Source organism: Homo sapiens, chromosome 10 (assembly GCF_000001405.40).
Source record: "Homo sapiens chromosome 10, GRCh38.p14 Primary Assembly".
Taxonomy (NCBI): Eukaryota; Metazoa; Chordata; class Mammalia; order Primates; family Hominidae; genus Homo; species Homo sapiens.
The window spans coordinates 124163811-124186427 of NC_000010.11; positions in this window are offsets into that span (position 1 = coordinate 124163811).

The window sequence follows — 22617 nt, forward strand, 5'->3', positions numbered from 1 at the left end:
TGACCGCTTCCCCTTAGCTTCAGTGGCTCAAGATCAAACTGTTCAAAATAACTAGTTTTTAAATTAATGCAAAATGGTATCCCAAGCTCTATCTCTTTAATTATTAACAATTTGCTCTTCTCTCATGAATGCTTTATACAGCCTCTGCTTTGTTATTTTTGGGAGTCTGCATATTTTTATACATTTGGGTGAGCTCTTTAGACATTATACCTGCTCATTCTTTGCCAGTCATATTTGGCAACGATGTTGTTTTCATTTTCGGTGTAAGTGTTCTCCCAGTGTGTTGGGCCTTCATTTTTTTTTCTGTTACTGTCATTATTTGAAAGTTTGTAGACCTTCCACATTCAACTCAATCTTTGTCTTTGAAGTTGTTTCTACTGCTTGTGAGATGAGCAATTCATCCACAAATCTGATAAATATTCTATTTTCTGTTCTGCTTGTTTATCTAAAATTTAGTTTTTCATATTTAACACTTTAATCAACCTTGAGTTTATTGAGTGTATGATGTCGTGTGGATCCAACCTGGTCTTTTATCCTAAATGACTATTCCATTATCCAACACAATTCAAAAGCACTTCCTCCTTAGGGCTTGTTTTGGAGAGTGGACTTGACCATGTGTTGATCTGCTTCATACCCAGGCCTGTTTCTGGATTCCCTGGGCTGTCTTGTGGTGTCTTTGTGCAGGAGCCAGCTCTGAGCTCTCAATAGCTTTGCTTTATCATCTGCTCTTGGGTGCGGCTCAGCCCACACCACTGTCCCTCTCTACCCCTCACTTTGTTGCTCTTAATTTCAATAACATTCTTTGAAAGTTTTGGCTGTTTCTTTGTTTCACACAAGACTTCAAAGCACATTGATTTTAAAACGCCTTTAGGGGACTTTGATTGTAATTGTATTTATAATCCATACATGAACTTGAGGGAGGATAGACAACTATTCAATATTTTATCTTGCTGACCAAGAACGTAGTCTAATAAACTCCACAGTCTAATAAACTCCCTTTTAAAATTAGCTTGAATAATTCAGTTTGAGGGGCTGTGTTCTAGTCCCAGCTGTCCTCTGTCTAGTGGAGGAATTTCAGACAAATTTTCCTTTTCCTCGGCCTGACCGTGAGGGGATTGAGCAGGTTTATTGCTTAGGAAAACAGCAAATACTTGTTTTTCTCTTATACCCCATGCTCCTCGGGGTCACCCAAAGGTTGTCTTCTTTCTTGTCCTCCAGGACACTTTTGGTTCATTGTCCTCCTTCCCTCTAGGGAAGAGCTCTCTGCTCACCTTCACCGTTGGTCACATCCCCTCTGTCACTTAAGACCTCTGCACCTGCCACCACCTGCCTCACACCCAAATGCAGCCATCACCCTAAACAACTGGGCCCACATGGATAGCGCAGGGGATGGCCTGCCTCCTCCTTCCTTAATCCTCTTGCCTCCAAGGACTTTAATCTCGGCTCCACCTCAGCCCCCTCCTGTCATCACAAATCTGAAACTGCATTGCCTCTAAATCAACAAATTCACACCATCTCCATCTCTTCAGCCTGAAGGCTGATGTGACCTCGCTGTGACTGCACTGCCTGGCTGAGACCCCTGTCACTGTCTCACTCCCCAAGGCTCCCCACCATATTCACTTTCCCCTTGCCCAAGTTATGTTGAATCTACCACCATTACTATCTGCTACTCACTGCCGTGATGCAACTAGAGCCCCTGGGCCGTCCCGGTGTCTGCCCCACTGACCGCGTCTCATCGTGAGCCCCTCCAACCACGATCATAGTGTCCCATCCTGGGGCCCTTCCTTCATGCTATGAATTGAATTGTGTCTCCTCTGAACTGCATAGGTTGTTGAAGTTCTAACCCACACTGTGATTATAATTGGAGATAGGGCTTTAGGAGGTAATTAAGACTAAGCAAAGTCATAAGGGTGGGGTTCTCATCGATGAGATTAGTGACCTTGTAAGAAAAACAGGAAGATTTCTCTCCTCTCTCTCTGGATGTGAGGACATAGGGAGTTGGTGGCTGTCTGCAAGCCGGGAGGAGGGCCCTTGCCAAGAACCAAATTGCCCTGCACCTTAATCTTGGACTTCTAGCCTCCAGAAGTGTGAGAAATAAATGTCTGTTTAAGCCACCAGGTCTATGATTCTTCATTATGGAAACTCGATCAGACTAAGACATTCCATTTAAAAATCTATTAAAAATAATATTTTACAATTGTACTGATATAAAGACAAATATATTCATATTATATATTAAAACATTTTCTTCACCTTAAAAATTTATTTACTTTTCTTCTGATAAAAAAGCATGTGGCTGAGCATGGTGGCTCACACCACTAATCCCAGCACTTTGGGAGGCAGAGGAAGGAGGATCACCTGAGGTCAGGAGTTTGAGACCAGCTTGGCTAACATGGTGAAACCCCGTCTCTACTAGAAATACAAAAATCAGCCGGCCATGGTGGCAGACACCTGTAATCCCAGGTACTCGGGAGGCTGAGGAAGGAGAATTGCTTGAACCTGGGAGGCGGAGGTTGCAGTCAGCCGAGATTGCACCACTGCATTCCTGCCTGGGTGACAGAGCAAGACTCCATCTCAAAAAAAAAAAAAAAAAAAAAAAAAAGCAAGAAAGCATTTTCATGGGTCCTAAAAGGTATCTTGGGTCCTGGGCATTGTGCCTCTCAAGTCCGATGGGTAAATCAGTATCACCTCGAGCTCTCGGCCTAAGGACTTTCCCAGTGGCAGCAGCGTACTCAGCCAGAGGCTGCAATGCAGTGCCAGGCAGTTCATGCCCCCGAGAGCAGTCCTCAGCCGAGAACACTAGGAGTTGGGGGACGGATCAGCCCCGCTTCCCTGCCTTGTGGGTAGCACCGCTCTAACGCAGGCCTAAGCTCCCACCGCCCACTGTGGCCTTCCCTTGGCTACACAGGCCCACCTTGGCTTCCCTGCCTTCCTCCCACCCACACCTGTGCCTCATGGTAAACGGATAGCTGGCATTACTTGCACTCAAATCTTTGTCTTAGGGTATGCTTTTGGCAAACCAAACCTAAAACATAATCGTTCTCTTGCACATGCAGTGGAAGCTCTCTAACCCAGCGTCCGCTTCGCAGAGTGGCTGAGTAGCCAACTCTTCCTTTCCCTTGCCTTGCCCTAAACCAAGTGACCTGATGTAGTTGGTGTACGAAGGCTGTCAGCGGAGGGGCTACTTTCAGGTGCCTTCCCACTTCTGCTCCCATCTGTCCAACTGTGAGATTACCCAGAGTCCGATGGCATGGTCCCAAACCTGTTTATGCCAGTTGTATTTGTTGTTGTAGTTATGTAATGTATTAGTCCGTTCTCACACTGCTCTAAAGAACTACCTGAGACTGGGTAGTTTACGAAAAAAAGAGGTTTAATTGACTCACAGTTCCACAGGCTTAACAGGAAGCATGACTGGGAGGCCTCAGGAAACTTACAATCATGGCAGAAGGCGAAGAGGAAACAAGCACCTTCTTCCTACGGTGGCAGGAGAGGGAGAAAGAGCAAAAGGGAAGTGCCACACTTTTAAACCATCAGATCTCGTGAGAACTCACTCATCGTTAGAACAGCAAAGGGGAAATCTGCCCCCACGATCCAATCACCTCCCACCAGGCCCCTCCTCCGATTCGACATGAGATCTGGGTGAAGACACAAATCCAAACCATATCATGTAATTTCCTTAAATATTAGTTAAACCAATGAAATATAAATGTAAAAAAGAGAGCTGCTGCTTCTATGAAAACTAAGTTGAATACTCAGGTAAGACTTGGTAGAGATAAGTTGCTAAAAATGCTGTCCATCAAATCGATGGGTAGGTTGCCATCTGTGAGAGACTGGAGAAAATGATAAAAACCTGGAAGGAGTCTAAGACACATCGCTCCACAGTATTTACGCTCTTTTTCCACTTAAAAGTGAAGCAAAACTAGAAATCGTAGATCATGTGCTGTGGACGTGGTTGGCCTGAGGGAGGGGGAGGGTGCAGGTCTTCTCTGTCCCTGCGTTTCCAAATCCACCCTCCCTCCTTCCCTGGGCCTTGGTGGGGAGAGGATGCATCTCACACCTACATCAGTGTCCAGCTCCAGTCCTCGCCCCTCTCCCCGAGCCTGGAGAATTTTCTTTTCCCTTGTGGTAAAAAACAAGTAGTCATCAAAATCCCTTATTAGGCCAAAATTCCAGCATTTGAAAACTCCAGGCCAGATTCTTCCTCTCCAGCCAACCCCAACATCCCTCTAAACAGGGGAAGGGTAAATGGATGAAGGAAAATGTTTTTGTGAGTTCAGTCTGCTATTTTTTTTTAATATTTTATTTCATTTTATTTTATTTTATTTTATTTTATTTTATTTTATTTTTTGAGATGGAGTCTCACTGTGTCGCCAGGCTGGAGTGCAGTGGCGCAATCTCCACCCACTGCAACCTCTGTCTCCTGGGTTCAAGCGATTCTCCTGCCTCAGTCTCCCGAGTAGCTGGGATTATAGGCATGCGCCACCAAGCCCAGCTAATTTTTGTATGTTTAGTAGAGATGGGGTTTCACCATGTTGGCCAGGATGATCTTGGTCTCCTGACCTCGTGATCTGCCCGCCTTAGCCTCCCAAAGTGCTGGGATTACAGGTGTGAGCACTGCGCCCAGCCTCAGTCTGCTATTTTTAAAAGGCACCACGGGGTTGGGTGACTATTTTTTTGAGACAGGGTCTCACTCTGTCATCCAGGCTGGAGTGGCACAATCATAGCTCACTGCAGCCTCAACCTCCCAGGCTCAAGCGATCCCTCTGCCTCACCCTCCCCAGTAGCTGGAACTACAGGCACACTCTACCATGCCTGGCTAATTTTTAAAACTTGTTTTGTAGAAACAGGATGCATCCCACTATGTTGCCCAGGCTGGTCTCAAATTTGTGAGCTGAAGCAATCCTCCTGCCTCGGCCTCCCAAAGTGCTGGGATTAGGGAGTGAGCCGGCGCAGCTGGCCAGGACTGGGTGACTTTTAAACAACAGAATTGATTTCTTACAGTTCTGGAGGCTGAAAGTCCAAGATGAGGGTGCCAGCACGGTCAGGTTCTCCGGAGGGCCCTCTTCTAGGCTGCAGACAGCTGACTTCTCCCCATACCTTCTCATGGTGGGAGCAGGGGGAGGAAGCTCTCTGGGGTCCCTTTTATAAGGGCCCAATCCCATTCATGAGGGTCCACCCTCATGACCTAATCACATCTCAAAGTGCCCATACTGGGAGTGGATTTCAACATATGAATTTAAGGGGGACGCATTTAGTCCCTAACAGAGAACTGCAGACAAGCAGCCTGCCACACCTAGGTAACTTCTCCCAGCCTTCCTCAATCCCCCACTCTAAATGTGCCATCCACTGCTCCACATCCACCCCTCTCCTGGTCCTTTGCAGTCTAGCTCACGGTGCCCCGTAAGACACCCTCAGCTCCAGCGTCCTGCGGGAGGGACAGCACCTTCCTGCTTCCTGCAGGCACCCAGCATTAGTAGCAAGCACGTGCACCTGCTCCCCAAACACCCCCAGGTGAGCAAGCAAGTGAGGAAGGAAGGCCCCTTCCCGTGCGGGCATTGGATGCTCCTTTGATCTTAATTGATTTCATTGCAGAGGCAGGCCTGTTCCTGACCTTGTTAGCAAATTTCTTACCGCAGGCCCTAAGCAGGCACCATAATTGGAGGGTTGTCGGAGCCTTGGAATCTGCAGACGCCAAAGGGACACCGAGAGGAGGAGGCAGGCATAGGATGAGAAGATGGCAGCTCCTGAGACCCGGCTGTCTCAATCTCCTCTATGTTTTCTGCCTTTGGACTCTGTGGTGATGCCGGACGTTACCAGCAGGACGGAAGAGAGAGGAATACCGTGTGCAAGGGCTGGTAGTGATCACTGTCACCTGCCTCTGGAGGGCCTAAAACAGGCCTGCAGGTCATCTGGCTCCAATGCAGGGCCAGGGTGCATTCTGAGGCTGGAGGCAGGACCTCAGCTTTAGAGAGGGCAGGGGCCTAAACCTGGGATGAGCATTCATCCTAGGTCAGGCTGAACCAGCTCAGTGGCCCCTCCTAGCAATCCAATCACTGGGAGACATCGTTCTCATTACAGCACAGCTGCAGGCACCCACCTGTGGTACCCTCAGCCCAGGTAAGGTCTAAAGAGGTCTCTCCTGCTACCTGCAACTTCAGCTCCTCGCAGGTTCATTCTTGGCTCAGTTATTAAGCTTGTCAGTTTCTTTCTTTCAGGTTTGGCTCCCAGTAGACTATAAGCTTGGTAAAGGCAAAGACCACATGTTATGGTCTGAATATGTGTCCCCCTCAAATTCCTATGTCGAAATCCTAATCCTCAAGGTGATGGTATTAGGAGACAGGGGCTCTGGGAGGTGATTAGGTCATGGAATGGAGCCCTTAGAAATGGGATTAGGCCCTTGTAAAAGGGACCCCAGAGAGCTCTCTTCTCCTCTTTCTCCGATGTGAGGACACAGGGAGAAGTCAGCAGCCTACAGCCTGGAAGAGGGCCCTCCCCAGAACCCAACATGCTTGCACCCTGACCTTGGACTTCCAGCCTCCAGAACTGTGAGAAATAAATTTCTGTTGTCTATTGTAAGTGCTGTAATAATCTATAGTGCTTGGTTATGGCAGCTCGAAGGACTAAGATACCATGCTGTCTGTCTTGGTTTGTGCTATAGTTCCAGAGCCTAGCACAGTGCCTGGCACCAAGTCAGTGCTCAGGAGATGCCCCAGACCAGGAGTCAAAGGCAACACCTAGTCCACAGCAGTGGGTGACTCAGGGCCCCAGGCACAAGCCCACTTCCTAAGGCTGGAGGAAGCCAACTTGTGTTTCTTCTCGTGGTGCTATAGTGACCCATCTGGAAGCCCTGATGCTTTGACCAAATACACAGCACATTTGGAGCCTGCCTTGTGCAGACACTTTGAAATTTTCCCAATACTATCTTAAAAATTAAAAATTCATCTCGTGAAAAATAAAAGGCAAGTGTAACTAACAGGGGAAATTTGGCTCTGTTGCCTGAAGGCTGATGAGGAACAGCTTAATGTGCCACTGGAGAACGTTTCTGCCGTCTCGTGTTGTGCGGAGAACACACTGACTGCGAAAGCCTCTTACCTGAAGCTCTCGGATCAATACATTTATTTTTGTCCCTCCCCTGGAGAACAGCTCTCTGTGGAGACCTGGCCTTTCTCCTCACCTGTGGGGATGCTTTCAACTCAGTTTGCATGGGGAGAAGTCCCTCAATCCTCACTTTCATTCCAACTTCTCTTCTGTGGCCTCCAAGTAATAGATTGCTGGGCTCCCTGTAATAGATTGGAAAATTAATCCTTTTTGGCTGCACCCACCCCCTTGTTACAAGCTGGTGATAAGATCAAAAAATTCCATACCTTAGAGGTGATGGATACACAGAGAGGCTTCGTGTGGTTTATCAGCTTCTCTATCTGGGGCAGATTTTATAACTTTGCTCTAAAATTCCCACAATGCTAACAGTCCTACAACCCTGGGCATTTCTCTCCTGTGACCTCCATCCATGATTTCACTAAAATAATTTCTGATGTTCATCTGGGAGTGGACCGATGGTTGCACCAAAGTCAAAAAATGCACAGAGTTGTTTCACACACACTGAGACACAGGACAACACACTTTGAAGCCCTCAGAACCCTCATGACACCTGAAGCCTCACATCCTGAGTGAGTTGTGGCAGACAGAGTTCCTGGTCCCAGCTCTCTACTACATGACAGCCTCATGATGAGCAGAGCATGTTTCCCTGACCCTTGACTTTGGTCTTGACCTTGAGACTTGCTTTGGCCAAAGCAAGTCTCAACCCAGCCCCAGCATGCAGAGCCTGGGGAGTGCTTGGACAATAAGTTCTGCTCTCTCATGCTGGTGATCTACAGTGAGAACATGCTCCAGGAGCTGCTCTTCCTTCAGCCAGGGCCCCAAAAGGAGACACATGGAGGTGACCATGTGCCCTGGGGGCTGCTGGTCAAAGGAGGATATGTGACACGTGGGCCATTCCTGATCCCAACCTACAGCCTGGACACTGGAGCCCAGAGCCCAGAGCCAAAAGTCCAAGCTAGCCCAGTGGAGTTGCAGCAGACCCCAAAACCAATGGGACCAAGAATAAGTCATTGTCGTTTTAGGTTTGGAGTGGTTTCTTACACAGTGTTACTGTAGCAATAGCTGACTGATACAATATTCAAGCTCATACAAAGTCTACTCATATGCTCAGAGCACACACAGGCACTCAAGGAACACTATCCCTGCCCCCACACACACCTTTGTAGTGAGCATATAAGGTCATTGTCCCAGGAGCTGGAAAGGTCCCCCTCCCCTGCCCACCTGCGGCCCACTTTCCCCAATGCTGCCAGAGCACTGCCTGGTCTTCCAGAGGCCAATTATGTCTTTAGCATCCACCACTGTGCAGCTCAGAGCTCCACGCCCTTTATCTTGTCAAGTTGTTTTTATGTCCTTTCTGCCAAGAAAGTGTTGCTTTTGAAGCCCTGGCAGCTTGCTCCTTTTTTCCTTTCTACTCCAGTTGTTGAATGCGCGTCAGATTTGTGACATCCCATTCTCCCAAGGGGAAAAATTACAGCTGGGATGTATGCAAACGAATTCTCAGAACACGAATCTTTCACGTCCTTGCTGTTGGCGGCCCCTCTGCCGGCCCTGCTTCTCCGATTGCAGCTGCTGCTGCTCCGGCAATGAGCCGGAAACGGATCCATCCTTACATCTGAGGGTAGTGGGTAAACCCCGTTCTTGGTTGCAGCCAGTGAGGGGAAAAAGTCAGGGCTGGAACACACTCAGCCTTTCCCTCCTCTCAGAGCCTGGAGTAACGGGGCTGGGGCCTGGGCGGTCTGGCTTGGGATGAGCAGCCTCCCCAGCTTCCCAAGGCCAGAGCTCCAGCACGTGGAAGCAGCGTCAGCTTGGGCAGGCTTTGGAGGGGCCTGAGAAGCCCATCAGCCTTACTGGGACCCCTTCTTAGCTCCCTCTTCTGCGAAGGAGGACTTGATGCTGTCTACAGAGTGGACTGTGTCCTGGCACAATCTGGAAGCAGAGGAGGTGCTGGAGGAAACAGGCCGAGAGGTTCTGCCTGGTGGAGGCTGTCACAGTGCCCTGTGCAACATTGTGAGGGATGGCAAGCATGGCTGGGTGTGCTCCCCACCCCAGGAAGCTCAGGGAGGGTCTCCCTGGCAGAGAAGGTTTAACTTGAGTCTTGACGGATGAGTAAAGACTCCTGGATGAACGGTCGGGGAAAGGCATGCAGGGAGAGGGAACAGCATATGCAGACAGCACGGAGGATGCAAGAGTCTGACTTAGAGACTCTTAATTAGAGAACTATGAGGAATTCAGGGGCCCCTGAGCTCTGGGTGACCTGGGGAGGGCGGTGGGAAATGAGGCTCAGAAGTCAGCTGAGGCTGGATCTCTAAAGTGCCAGACTGATGGATTTGGGTGTTTCCAGTTAGCAATAGGGAGCCACGGAAAGATTTGAGGAGGGAGAAGCAGGACCAGGCTTGCTTTCCCATCCCATCCCGCCAACCACAGAGTGGAAGCGGATCAGAGAAAGGCAGGCCTGGGCCAGGCAGGCAGCTGCAAGGGCTCTGGGAGGAGGTGGCCAGGTTCGGCCTGACGAGGTGGCCCCGGCTGTGGAGGGAGGAGATAGAGCCGCCTTCCCTCCTCCTTCAGCCTCTGCCCACCTTGATTCGCTCACCCCTGGTCACAGCTCTCGCCGCCTGTGAAGACAAGCAGGTGCCCACTGCCCGCTGAACTATGAAATCGGCTCAGCCTCATCCTCAGCTTCACAAGAGCCACATCCAGAGAATTGCCAGTTCAATGCCTCTCAGATTTGTCTCTCCCCTCCCTTGGCCGACACCTTCACCGGGGCCCTCATCAGCTCCCATGGCCCCTGTATGGGGTGACTGGCTCAGGCCCCTGGGGTTCCCACTTACTCCTGGAACCTGTTTCTTTTTCCTTCGGTCAGCAACTATTTTTTGAGCAGCCACAGCACACCAGGGCCTGGGGTGCTACGGCTGGAAATAGCAAGCAACACAGAATGGGGCTGTGGCCCCCTGGAGCCTCCCTCCAGGGAAAGACGGATGGTAAACAGTTGCTGCACAACTCTGCATGCAGCCCCCCTAGAGCGGAGGGTGACGGAGGAATGCAGCACATAGGGCTGAGCCGCAAGGCACCAGGCAGGGCGAGGAGCAGCGTGCAGAAGGCTCTGCATGGAAGATCGTGGAGAAGAAGGAAAGGCACCGAAGATAAGGCTGGGGGCCCAGACACGAAGGGCATAGGGGCCATGTGAGGGATTGGAAATCTGCCTAAAAGCAAAGAAAAGTCATCAAAAGCCTTTAACCATGTGGTGTGTCCGAGGGCCCAGGGCAACACGTGCAGGCGTTCCACCTACCACTGGGTGTTAGGCCGGTCACCCCAAGCCTGCCCCCAGGGAGCAGGGAGCCCTCCGTGGGTGTGAGGCAGAACACCGTGACTTGGGAAAGATCTGGCACCTCCTACTCAGGTGCTCAGGGTTGGGAGGGCGGAGCAGGCACCGGGCACCTCGCTTGCTCGCCCATCCTCAGGCAGGGACAGGCAGCTGTGGGCAGCAGTGATGTGCGTCCGGCCAGCGAGGACATAGGACAGCCCAGTGCCCTCCAGCCCCAAAGGGGGTCAGAGAAAGGCAGTAATCAGGGAGAGGTGCAACTGACCCCAAGCCGCTCCAGGGTTAGGAAAGGCCAGGACGAAAGCAGAGGGTGCACTACCCAGAGAAACTGAAATGAGCCGGCTGCCAACACAGAGCTCCTGCCCCACCCCGACCCTACACATGCAGACCTTGACCCCTCAGGCACCCAGTGTCCCCAGCAGATTGCAGTCTGGAAATCAGTCCCCAGGGTCCTCCCATGCAGGCCCCGCAGCCAGGAATTCTCAGTCACCTGCCTGCTGTCCAGCCTCCCCTCAGGACAGCGATCAGGGAGAGCCAGGGAGCCTGGAGGCCTTAGCTGGACCAGCCAAGACCTCCTCCAGCCTCAGTTTCCCCATCTGGGAGGCGACACAGGCATGCTGCCGTGTCCCTGTGGAGGCACAGTTTGCTCTGACCCTCCTGCCTCTCCTTCCTGGCTCTCCCTTCCCTGGAGCCTAGATCCCAGCATCTCAAGCCCCACAGCCTCACTGTCAATGCCCACTCCTGGCTTTCAGACCACAAACTTGAGATTCTTTAGAGTCTGCTCATTTTCATAGTTGGAAATTATTGAATTCAACAGTGTAATTATTTTAAAAATATAAACAGACCAACCACAAACATATGGCAGAAGCAATATATTTTCCCCTGCCCCTGGTTTCCTGGAAAGCTTTTATTACCATTGCTAAAAATATTTGCCCAGGGCTCATTAAAGATCCAAGAAAGAATGGGGCCTGGATCTCCAGGCCTGAGTCCCTCCACTGAGCAGTGCCCTTACTCTGTCCTAGAGTTTCCAAGGGTGACAGGGACATGGAGTCTGCTTTAATGACCTGCTCATGGGGCCACTGGCACTGGGCGGGCAGTGGGGTTGGGTTGCGTTGCAGTCCAGGCGGTCCCCGCATTCATAACAGCTGAGATGCTACCCGGGAAGGGACCTGCTCAGGGACACTGTCATTGGGGCCATTACTTAGGATGTCATTCCACTTTCTCTTGCACTCCCTCCTCTCAGGGAAGCTGGTCTGGCCCCACAGAAGCAGAGGCCCCTGCCCTTCTGTGGGCCCGTAACTAACAGTGGGGAAGGCCTCTGCTACCCTCCTACTGCCCAGGGGGCACCCCTTGTCTCATCTTGCCTGAATCAACCTAAGAGTCTTCCAGAGTCCCTCTGTGAGGCCTGAGTGATTCATTCCCATGAGGGGTTCCGGGACTGAGGGATGCTGGCAAGGACATCCTCTAAGTTGGTCCCAGGAGGTGTTGCCTTCGCTCCCCCTGCCCCCTACCAGCTTTAGGGTTGAAGACTTGGATGATACATAACCCTTCCCCCGGCCCCAGGCCACTGCCTCCTATGTCCAGCCTCCCCTCCCCCAGCCTGGCATCCTGCCCCAACCCCACCTCTGCCCCTCCCCTCCATCCCTAGCACAGGGGCCACTCAGCTTGTCCCTTCCCCTGGCTTCCTCCTGCCTTTCTCTCTTCTAGTTCCCCATGCCCTGCCCCCAGGACCACCTGTGAGTGATCTCCAGCACCCACTTCCTGTGCACGCAGCCACAGGCAGCCCAACTGTCCCAGGACCTCACCTACGCCGACACACATCGCCATCTAATTACAGCAGCCCTGCTGTGAACGCCTGTCCCATGCCAGACACCTTCCATGCATCATTTCTAATCCCCTCAACAGCCCCCACAGGTGGATGCCCTTATTATCCCCATTCTACAGGCAAGGAAACTGAGGTCTACAAAGGTGAATTCACTCTCAAAGCCGCCAGCTACGAAGTGATGGGATCAGGGTGCAAACTTCAGACTTTGTGGCTGCGGGGCTGATTCCACTTTGCTCTGCTGCCTCTTGGATAGCCTGGCCCAGCAGGTGGGTGTGTGTGCACACAGGTGTGTGCATGCCCCTGAGAATGGGACCTTGGGAATGACACTGGGACTTCTGTTTGTGTCTGAGGCCTCTGCAGCACCAGGATACAGCTCATCTCAGGACAGCCAGCAGAAGCCAGGCTGCCCACTCCCAGGCAGTGTAAGTCCTAAATGCCAGCTGCTCTGATGTAACAGAGGACAATGGAGCGTGCCCTGCCTCCCTGAGCCCTCATCCTGCCGTTCACCAGGCCGGGGTTTGCTCAATTTCACCCACAGCTCCAAAAGCCAAAATGCCTGGAGAAGCAAAGCAAAGATGATTTTGCTCTAGCTGCAAAGTCAGAGCCCAGCCCTCAACTGTCAGGCAGCTCAGGAACCTTTTGCTCATGAGGAGAGGTAGAAATGCGGCTTCCAGTCCATCGCTTCATCCACAGGGGCTGACGGAGGAAACAAAACAGACATGTTCTCACTGAGAGTGTGTCCTTTCAGATAACTTGTGGTTAGGATGTTGTTTTAGGCCGGGGAAGCATAAATCTCAGGCATTACATTTTTATTCCTGTCTGTGAGCAAGAATCCTCCTTGAAGATTCAATGCACTTGCAGCTGCCCCGGAGTCTGCGCTTCTCTATCTGCCCAGGGCGAGTGGGCAGGACGGACCGTGCTAACCCAGGAGCAGCTCTTGGTGCAGGGCTCCTTGGCTGCAGGGGAGAGTGGGAGGCTGGGAGCTTGGTGCTCACAGCTGGGGGTGCTTCTCAGACACATGGACGGGCATCAGAGCAGACACAGCCACAGGGAGATCGTGCCTGCGCTGGAGGAGAGAGTCCACCATGGCCTCATGGGTGAGCCACCACTGCCAGTCCCATGGTGATATGCAGGTCATCGGAGCATGTATTGAGCACCTACTATGTGCAAGCACTTTGTGTACATTCTGTTAATTAATCCTCACAATAACTTGGGAGACTGTTTCCATTTTACAGAAAGAAAAGCTGAATTCAGAATGGTGACGTAACTGCCCCAAGGCCTTGCAGCCAGTAAGTGATGCTGTTGGTCAGGTTTGCATCCAGCTGCAAAGGAAAAGTCCAACCCATGGTGGCTTAAAAAATAGAGGGCACATAGGTCTCAAATAAGCCTAGAGATCGCTGGTGGCATGTGGCAGGAAGGCTCGAGAATGTCAGCGCTGTGGGAGGAAGTTTCTAGGATTCTAGGCCAGGGCTGGATCTGCTTCCCCATGGGAGGAAGGGGGCCTCTGCCCAAGACCTAAATAAAGTTGGAGGGTTTCATACGGCGTTGGTGCTCCATGACGGGCTCCATGTGAGTCACACTCAGGCAAAATCCACCCAAAAGGGGCAACCACTGTGGGGCGGAAAGGATGTTACTTACACCGCCCTTGGAAGACATCTCCCCCCACCATTCCTTGAGACCTGTCCATCAAAGACATCTGACCTACAATTGCCCTGATGTGCCCAGGTCTGCCACAGCCCTCTCCATTCTGCTTTCCCCTCTGCAGCAAACAAACACAGCCTGACACGTACTAGGGTTCCTCCTGGAAGGGTCTCTCTCCTTTCTAGAGTATACCCTCCTGGAAGGCAAGCATGGAGTCACACCTCTCGCCACACCCCAGCAAGGCTCAGTAGACAGATGTGTAAACAGCAGGCCCCATTAATTGTTGATTTTTAAAGCAGTCTCACTAAAGTGGCAGTTCAAACATTTGACTTACAATGCTGGCCTCTGGGGAAGCACTATGGTAATTGGGGCACACTTTTTTTACCTCTTTAAAAGGGTTGCACATGTAATATCTGGTAATTATTGAAATATTAAAATAAAAGTAAAGCAATAGAATCCCATTGTTTACATTTTTATACATAGATTTCCACTCTTTCTTTCATACATATGCAGACATAGATTTTCTGTCTTCATTTATTTTCTGTTACAACAGGATACCTGAAACTGGGTAATTTATAGAGAAAAGGAATTTATATCCTATAAAGGCTGAGAAGTCCAAGGTTGAGGAGCTGCATTTGGTGGGGACCTTCTTGCTGTGGGAGCTTTCTTGCTGGTGAGGGCTCTCTGCAGAATCCCCAGGTGGTGCAGGGTGTTACATGGTGGAGGGGCTGAGTGTGCTACTCAGGTCTCTCTTTCTCTGCTTATAAAGCCACCAGTCCCACTCCTGTGATAACCCATTAGTCTGTTAACCCATTAATCTATTCATGGATGAACGGATGAATCCATTCATAAGGACAGGGCCCTCATGACCCAATCACCTCTCAAAGGCCCCAACTCTCAATGCTGCCAAATTGGGGATTACATTTCAACATGAGTTTGGGAGGAAACACATATTCAAGCAATAGCAGTTTTTAAAAAAGAAAACAGATCCTACTGCCTATTCTGTTTTGCCATTTTAGAAAAACATAAAATGCATCCTAAGCATCTTTCCATATTAGTAATTGTTCTCCTTCAACAACATTTTTGGTGACTGGATAGGACTCTATTGTATACATGCTCTATAATTTATATGATCCACTCACAATTGTTGGTTTTCAATGTATTTTTTAATGTCTCACTATTATAAACCATACTTGAACAAATGGCCTTGTAGATGCTTCTTTGAACCCATCTTGAATTCTTTCTTTTGGGTAAGTTCCTAGAGGTAGAATTGTTAGGTCAGAGGGTAAGTACCTTTTAAAGACTTCAGTAAGTGTTTTCAAATTGCCCTCCAGAACAATGAAAATAGCTTCTCCTCCTACCACCAGTAGACAAGAGGGGGAAAGACATCTATTGAAATATTAGCCACCTTCTTGGATCTTTCCTATTGCAAAAAAAAAGACAAAAAATAAAATAGAATTTACTCCCCAGGAGCCCTAGAAGGTTAATGAATTTATTAATTTTGTGTAAATTACTTTCGATATCAAAACATCACTGAGAATATTGTAATGTGCTCAGAATTGGGCTGAGGAGTGGTCCCAGTAGACAGTGGGTGGGTGAGATCAGGCATCAAAGGCACAACAGTTCTCCCGTAGACCTGTTCACATTTAGGAGGAGATTAAAGGTGGGATATGGGGACTGTGACAACATGGGGGCTTCCCTGGGGATCTCCCAAGTTTCTACAATGTTGGTCATATTTGCAGACCTAACTAATAGAGGCCTCCTCTGGCCCTACCAGTGCTCCAAGATTATGACCCAATGGGTGGGTGGACCTACCAAGGGGCAAGGGGCCTAACTTCAGAACTCCAGAAAAGAATACCTGGAGATGACAGACAAGGCTGCTCTTCTGCATACAGCCCTGGGCAAATATTTGGGCTTCTGTGTATATAAACAATTTAAGTCATCCAAAACCAGTGGCCCAATCTCACATAATCCTGCAAAAGAAATGCCATACCAGCCAATAGGAACAATCCCCCCATCAAGCTTCCCTCCTGGAACCAGGCCCTGGGCCTCAGGGATGACCCCATAGGTGGGAGTCCTGTAGCTCCTTGGGACATCTGGTCCACCCAGCACATGGGTGACAGAGCAGAGGGTAAAGAGTTGAAGCATACCTCAAAGGGAAGAAACAGGGTTCAGGGCCCAGGGCCCACATGGTTCCCTTTCCAGGCTTTAGGCTCCCTGCACAAACAGCACGCACAGCCCCAGCTTTTCCCAAGCATTGGAGGGAGATTTATAAAATGTTGAAGAAGGCTCTCCGAAGCTCTAGACTCAGGCAGGATCCCTGCTTGCACAAGTCTAAGGGCAATGTGAACGACAGACTTCCCTCGCAGGCCCATGGTGGGTAAACCAACCATCCGTTATATATAATAGGCAAACACAGACATAAGCATAAGCAATTACCATGTGGTGGATGTTTCCCTGGTGCCCCTCCCACTCTGTCCCCACCTCTGTGCCCCAGAAGGCTGGCCTCCATGGTGTGCACCCTTGTTCCAAGATGTCCCCTTCCAACACAGACGGCAGACATTGGTTGTGTTTTTTCCAAAGCTGTAAATTCCCAAGACCCTTGAGCCAGAGAAAGCAATCAGGGGCCATGCAGGTTGGGAAGGGAGGTGCTAGCAGCTGCAGCCAAGAAGAAATCAGACCCTATTTCATCAGAATCACCACCATTTTTCCATCAGTGACTCCCTTGTTGATGCAGACAGCTTGGCCTTTTCTGATGGGGTGGGGAGCGAAGTCTGCAGCTCTGGGTGTCAGAGGGCTCCCTCATCACACAAGGGTTGAGAGCAGGAAGACACCAGCCACCAGTGCTGCCAGGAAGACTGGCACACATCCAGCCAAGGACTGCAACTGTCGAGGCGCTCTGAGAAATTGGCCAACTCGTCCACCTGGGACCCCATCACCATCTCTCCATCACATGGAGAGATTCTTTCCATGACCTACTGACTCAAGTTGAGTAAATCCCAGAATCTGACACTAGAAGAGTTTGGAGGGGTATAAAAAGTCCATACTATATAGTCCAACCTCCCCACCCACCCCAATTTACAGATGGGGAGGCTTTGCCCGAGCCTCCTCCAGGGCTTTCTCTTCTCACCCAGTTATTGCTGTGTTCTCACTTTCTGCCTTGGCCATAGTGTCAATGGCCACCAGAGCCTTAGTGCTCCATGCCAGGTACTATGCTAACGGCACTACATAATAACTCTGGAAGGTAGGTCACCTTACCTCTGGTGCACTCAAGAAATGTGAAGCTAAGTAACTGAGGCTCAGAGAGGCTACCCAACTTGCCCAAGATCACACAGCTACCCCTTGTTGCCACTGGGATTTGAGCTTCGCTTCAATACCCACATTGCTTTCAATATGTGATACTTAGTGTTTTCACATTGACTGTGACTCAGCACAGTGGGTTTCTAGAGAAGTGAGTCACTTGCTCTAGAATATTATCCCTGTATCTAACCCAAATCCCCTCCTGGGCCAAGGAAAACCCATTTCCTTTTGGGCCCTTGGCTGACTTTAGATCTGCTAAGTAATCAACATAGACCATGGGACGCTTCCATGCACGCACATGCACTCAGCCTTGGCCTCCAAAGCGTTGCCCTTCCATATCCTCCCCACTGTCCAGGCCTCCTCCACCCTCGCTCAGAACCTGTTACCAGCAAGCAGTCCTGACTCTGCACTTCTGCAGGTAGGGTTCCATTCCACATGCCCTGCAGATGAGACAGCACGCTGCCATGAGGACACGGTTTCCGCCTTGCTTTCCTTGGCGTCTGAGGACCCCCAACCCCTGCAAGCTAGCTGTCCCATCCGATTCCCTATCTTTCCCTGTGGTTCTGCAATTTGCTCGCTTCCTCTTGCCTGGGCCCAACTTCAGGGGCTCACTCTCCTAACCTGGGGACCTTTCCTAGCAGCCCTTGGGGAACAAGGTAGGACAGAGGTTTGAGCACATGGGCTTTGGAGTTAGTCACCTGCCAGCCGCTGCTCTGCCAGGTGTGATTTGCTTTTGGAATTTCGGTGAGTGACTCGACCTCCCCAAGCTCAAGTTCATGCTCCTAGCCACACAGGGCTGTTGTGATGGATAAATGAAATAGCACATGTGACAGGGCTTCGGCCCAGGGCAGGGACTCAACACGTCGAATTCTTGTTTCCTTTAATACGTGTCTCAGAGGAACGCAAAGAGGATTAAATGGAATCATAAAGTGCCTAGCACAGTTCCCAGCTCCAGCAGACACTCCATAAACAGAACTTCCTGCTTTCTCCCCACCACCTTCTCCTCTGTTCTAGTGTTTGTTTTAGAGCAATATGGTGGAGCTATTTACTAAGGAGCACCAGCCTGTCTTGGAAGCTGGGGTGGGAGCAGGTGACGGCGGTTTGGGCTGGGCAGGTCAGGGCCTCAACTCAGCTAGGATTCTGTGCGTCTGGGCTCGGGGTGGCTCTGAGGTCAGGCCCGAGGCATTGGAGCAGTGGCCGCCAGCCCATTTTCCATCTCTGCCTGTCCTCCGAGAAGCCTCCCAAATTTACCTCCACCCTGTGCTGCTCTTTAACCAAAGCCCGTTTAGTAGATTCGGTAATCATGTACTCTCACTAAAAATAAACCGGGCCACACAGTCCCTGAGAAAGGAGAGCTCAGATTAGAGGTCAAATTCCTCCCCTCCTCGTAGGGTCCAGAGTGCCCAGGGACAGCAGCAGGGCAGGGAGTCCCTGTCAATCTCGCTTGTTGGGGAGGGCGCTCCAGGAGGAGCAGTGGACAGGCTCCCCGCAGGCCACTGGCTTCCCACGGAGGTCCACAGCAAAGCGGTGGCGTTTTCTTCTCAGGGCTAGCTCTACCTCACGGCTGCTTTCCATCTCCCCAGCGTCAGCTGCCATGAAAGGCCTTTTTGCTTTGGCCCAGTCCCTGCAACATAAAATCCTTGATGGATATTGCAATGGTCACCTCACTTGGGATCCCATTGTTTTTCAGTTTTCCAAAGGGCCATCTCTAGCACGTCACGGTGCAGAGGACAGGAGCCATATAGGAGCCTCTGAGCAGCGTATGTTCAGCACTGATATTTGTCATCGTCCAGTTCTGGTCTCTCACAGCTAGGTCTACTTCTTCTAGAAGGCGGTTGAACAAAGAAGTTGAGCACATGAGTTTGGGAATGAAATGAAACTGAATGTGAGTCCGGCTCTGACATTTAGACACGGTACCATGGGCACCTGCCCCTCTGGCCTCAATTCTGTCATCTGTCAAATGAGAATTCTAGAGTAAAGACATAGTGAACCTACCTCAAGGGGTAACTTACGTGTCAGATAAGCGAATGCATGCAAATGTTCATCATGGCTCTGGCACTGGATGAAGATGGCAGTGTGCATGCATTATCACTGTGAAGACTCTTACTATTATAAAGTGGTTTTGAGCAGGGCTTGAGGGAGAGCATTCCTTCTCTTTTTGGATCGTGATTAGGAAGTTACTCTTTAGGCAAAGGGGGATCAGCCCCCGACCCCACTCATGTCTTCCCACCTCGCATCCCTGTTGCATGGGGTTTCAGAAGGGAAATAAGAGGGCATTTCCAGTAACACGTGCAGGTGGCAGACAGCGCGCAGGGAGCACTGGAGCACAGCACAGATGCCTGTGACGGTCACGTCATTCCTAATGGGGCTCCTACAAGAGAATGGCCTCCTGCACCTGAAGGCAGGGTCCCAGGACAGGACAGGACAGGACAGGGGGACACGCAGGGAGAAGTTTCTGAAAACAACACAGCCAGAGGAGGGGTAGGGGCCTGAAGGAAGGAGGACCTGGCAGAGCAGTGAGGGCCTGAGGGACACAGAGCAGGATGGGCATGTCCCACGTGAGGGAGGACATGGAGTATCTTAGTTGGAGCCCAGGTGCTGGAGACACACCGCCCTCATCAACTCTCAGCTCCACCACCTACCGGCAGGACAGTTGGGGTACCAGTGTGAGCGTCCACTCTTTTTCTATGACAGGGTGTGATAATAGAGCATTTGTCAAGGGACTGTGGTCAGGATTCAGCATGCACAGCCATGGAAAGCCCCACAGCACCAGGCATGGTGGTGAATGGAGCCACGGGTACATCCAGGTATGAAAAGCCACCAGCCACAGCCTCTTCCGCCTTTGATGGCAACCTCCTCCTGCACCCCCAGGCTGCCTCCCGTGGTCTCGCCTGCTCTTCCTCTGTACCTCACTCCCTTCCTCCCATCCTCGCCTGGGAGGTTGAGGCTGCAGTGAGCTGTGATTGTGCCACTTCACTCCAGGCTGGGTGACAGAGTGAGAACTTGCCTCAAAAAACAAAATAAAAACAAAAAAATTACCCAGCCTCAGGTATTTCTTTATAGTGATGCGAAAACAGACTAACATAATTAGTAAATGTATTCTTCAAATAAAGACAAAGAGAAAGAATAAGCAGAGGCAATAGCAGAGAAAAAGACCCAGAAGTGAGGGGGCCTGATATACCCAAAGAATAGAGAGAATTTCCATCTGAGTGGCTCTAAGAATAGAGCTATGAGAGCTAAGTCAAGAAGTGTGGCTGGGTCAACTCATCCTGGGTCAAGTAAACCTGGGAAGCCACTGGGCATTTGCTATGAGCCCTGAGAGCCTATGAGGGTTGCTGGTGGATGGGTGTCAGATCCAGTGGTGTTCAGAAAGGACACTGAGTACCAGGTGGAAGGCACATTGTGGGAGCCACAGTGTCAGCTGGAGAGGAGCGGGACAGTGAGCCTCTGCCACAGTCCAGGCAGAAGACAGGGCTCTGTGGATGAGGGTAATGGCCCAGGGAAGGGGAGCAGTGTCAGAGCCCAGCAACATGTGACAAGGAAACAGTACAATTTGCTGCTGGCTGCTGCCACACACAGCAAGGCAAATTGCTGCTGAACAGCCAGGCCTGGGCCTGGGGACAGACAGTGCTTGGCCTTCACTCTTCAGCCAGCACTTCCCATGGGGGCTGCTCAGCCCTGCCTTGCTCAGGCACAGTCCATTCTAGTGGATGGGGCTGGAGCCGCCTGCCTTGACGGGATTTCCCTCTAGTTCCCCAACTCCAGTGTTGCTTCCTGGGGCCCCAGGTTGGAGCTGATGATTTTAATGGAAAGGATGGTAGATTGCAACTGTGAGCTGCAATGCACAAACAGCCGTAGATGCCTTGTGCTCTGGGTCCTTTTGGAAAGGGAGCAGGCAGAGGAGGCCCAGTAATGAACAGGTTTTCAGCCACTTCCTGGACACCATACTGATGCCTCTCCTCCTGGATCAGGAGTCCATGGAACTAGGCCTCGATTTACCCTGGGGGTCTCTGCTGTGAGCCCGCTGCCTTCTCTAAACCTCACCTGCCTTAGGTGAAAAATGGATCTCCAAGGTCCCATCCTGAATGAATGACCCCACAACTCTCACCTAAGGGACAGCAAACTGGCTCCTGGATTCCACATCCCAGTTCCCTGACAGGGTCACTAGCCAGGGCTCAAGGGCAGTCAGAGCTGCAAGGGTAAGGCTTAATTGCTCCAACTTCCAGTGAGATGACCCTCGTGCCCAGGCCCCTCCCCTCCCCATCCCAGCAGGCTCTATGACTCTGCGGAATCTGAGTGTAGCAGGAAAAATGCAGCAGGCCTGGACCCGCCGCCCCACTCCACACATCCAGGAAATGGACCGTGATACTCGTAATATTACATTTTAATGGTCTGCCGCAGCAAAGGCAGAAGGAAGAATCACTCCTGTGGCGGCAATGGATTAACTCCTTCTTTTCTGGTCTCTTCCAGAGTCTTCTAGTTAAATGTACTGGGGAGGGAGGGTGCAGGTCTTGGTGAGAAGGAATGAAGGGGGTCAAGACAATAAGACTCCAGAGTCTCTAGCTGCTTTACATTCAATCTTCTGGGAGTTTCCATTTTCTACTCTATCTATCAATATGCAGGAATGACAGCTTTTCTTCAAAGCCAACTCATTTTCCTTCCCTGGACTCCCTCAATGTCTATCAGGAGGTCAACTTCACACCCTCAGTACCATCCAGGCCCAAGATTAATAATCCTCCATCAGACAGGAAACCTGATGACTGACATTAGGGGTGCAGTAAGGGAGAGCCATAAACTCTCTTAAAATGAAAATAGCTCTTGAGTGGATCCTAGGGCCGAGAGGGAACCCAGAGATCATCTGCTCCTCTTGAGGTCCAGAGAGGAGAGAACACTCACTCAGCCACTCACACATCAGTGTGGATAAGGGACCGGAGCCTGAGAGATACCATCCCCACCCAAGCACCCTCTTCCTGGGCAATGGCCCTTCCAGTCATGTCCCACACAGTGGTGTGCTGGCAATGTGTATCACATTGATTTGTTGCATTTGCAGATTTCTGTGGTGTAAATACTCCCTCCATGCCCAGTTCTAAGCTATTAATGGGAGGTCACTGGAACAGACTTGGGAAGAGAGGCCCATTACATAGAATCTTCATCAGGCAGATGCAATAGACATAAATAACCTCAAAAGCACAGACCATAGTCAAATCATTAGGATAAGTTTTGAGTAGTTATTACTTTTGTTTTTAAAATAATTTCTTTAAGTATGAGTTTATATAATTGAACTTTTATGACTATATTTAATAACCAGCTCTCAATATTTCTGAATTTGACAGTCAGTTCTTATGAGGCAGTAATGGGTTGGCTCTGGCACAGCTCTGTCTCCATTGTGGTAAGTTGGTGGCTGTATGTCACTTGTATTAGTCTGCACACCTAG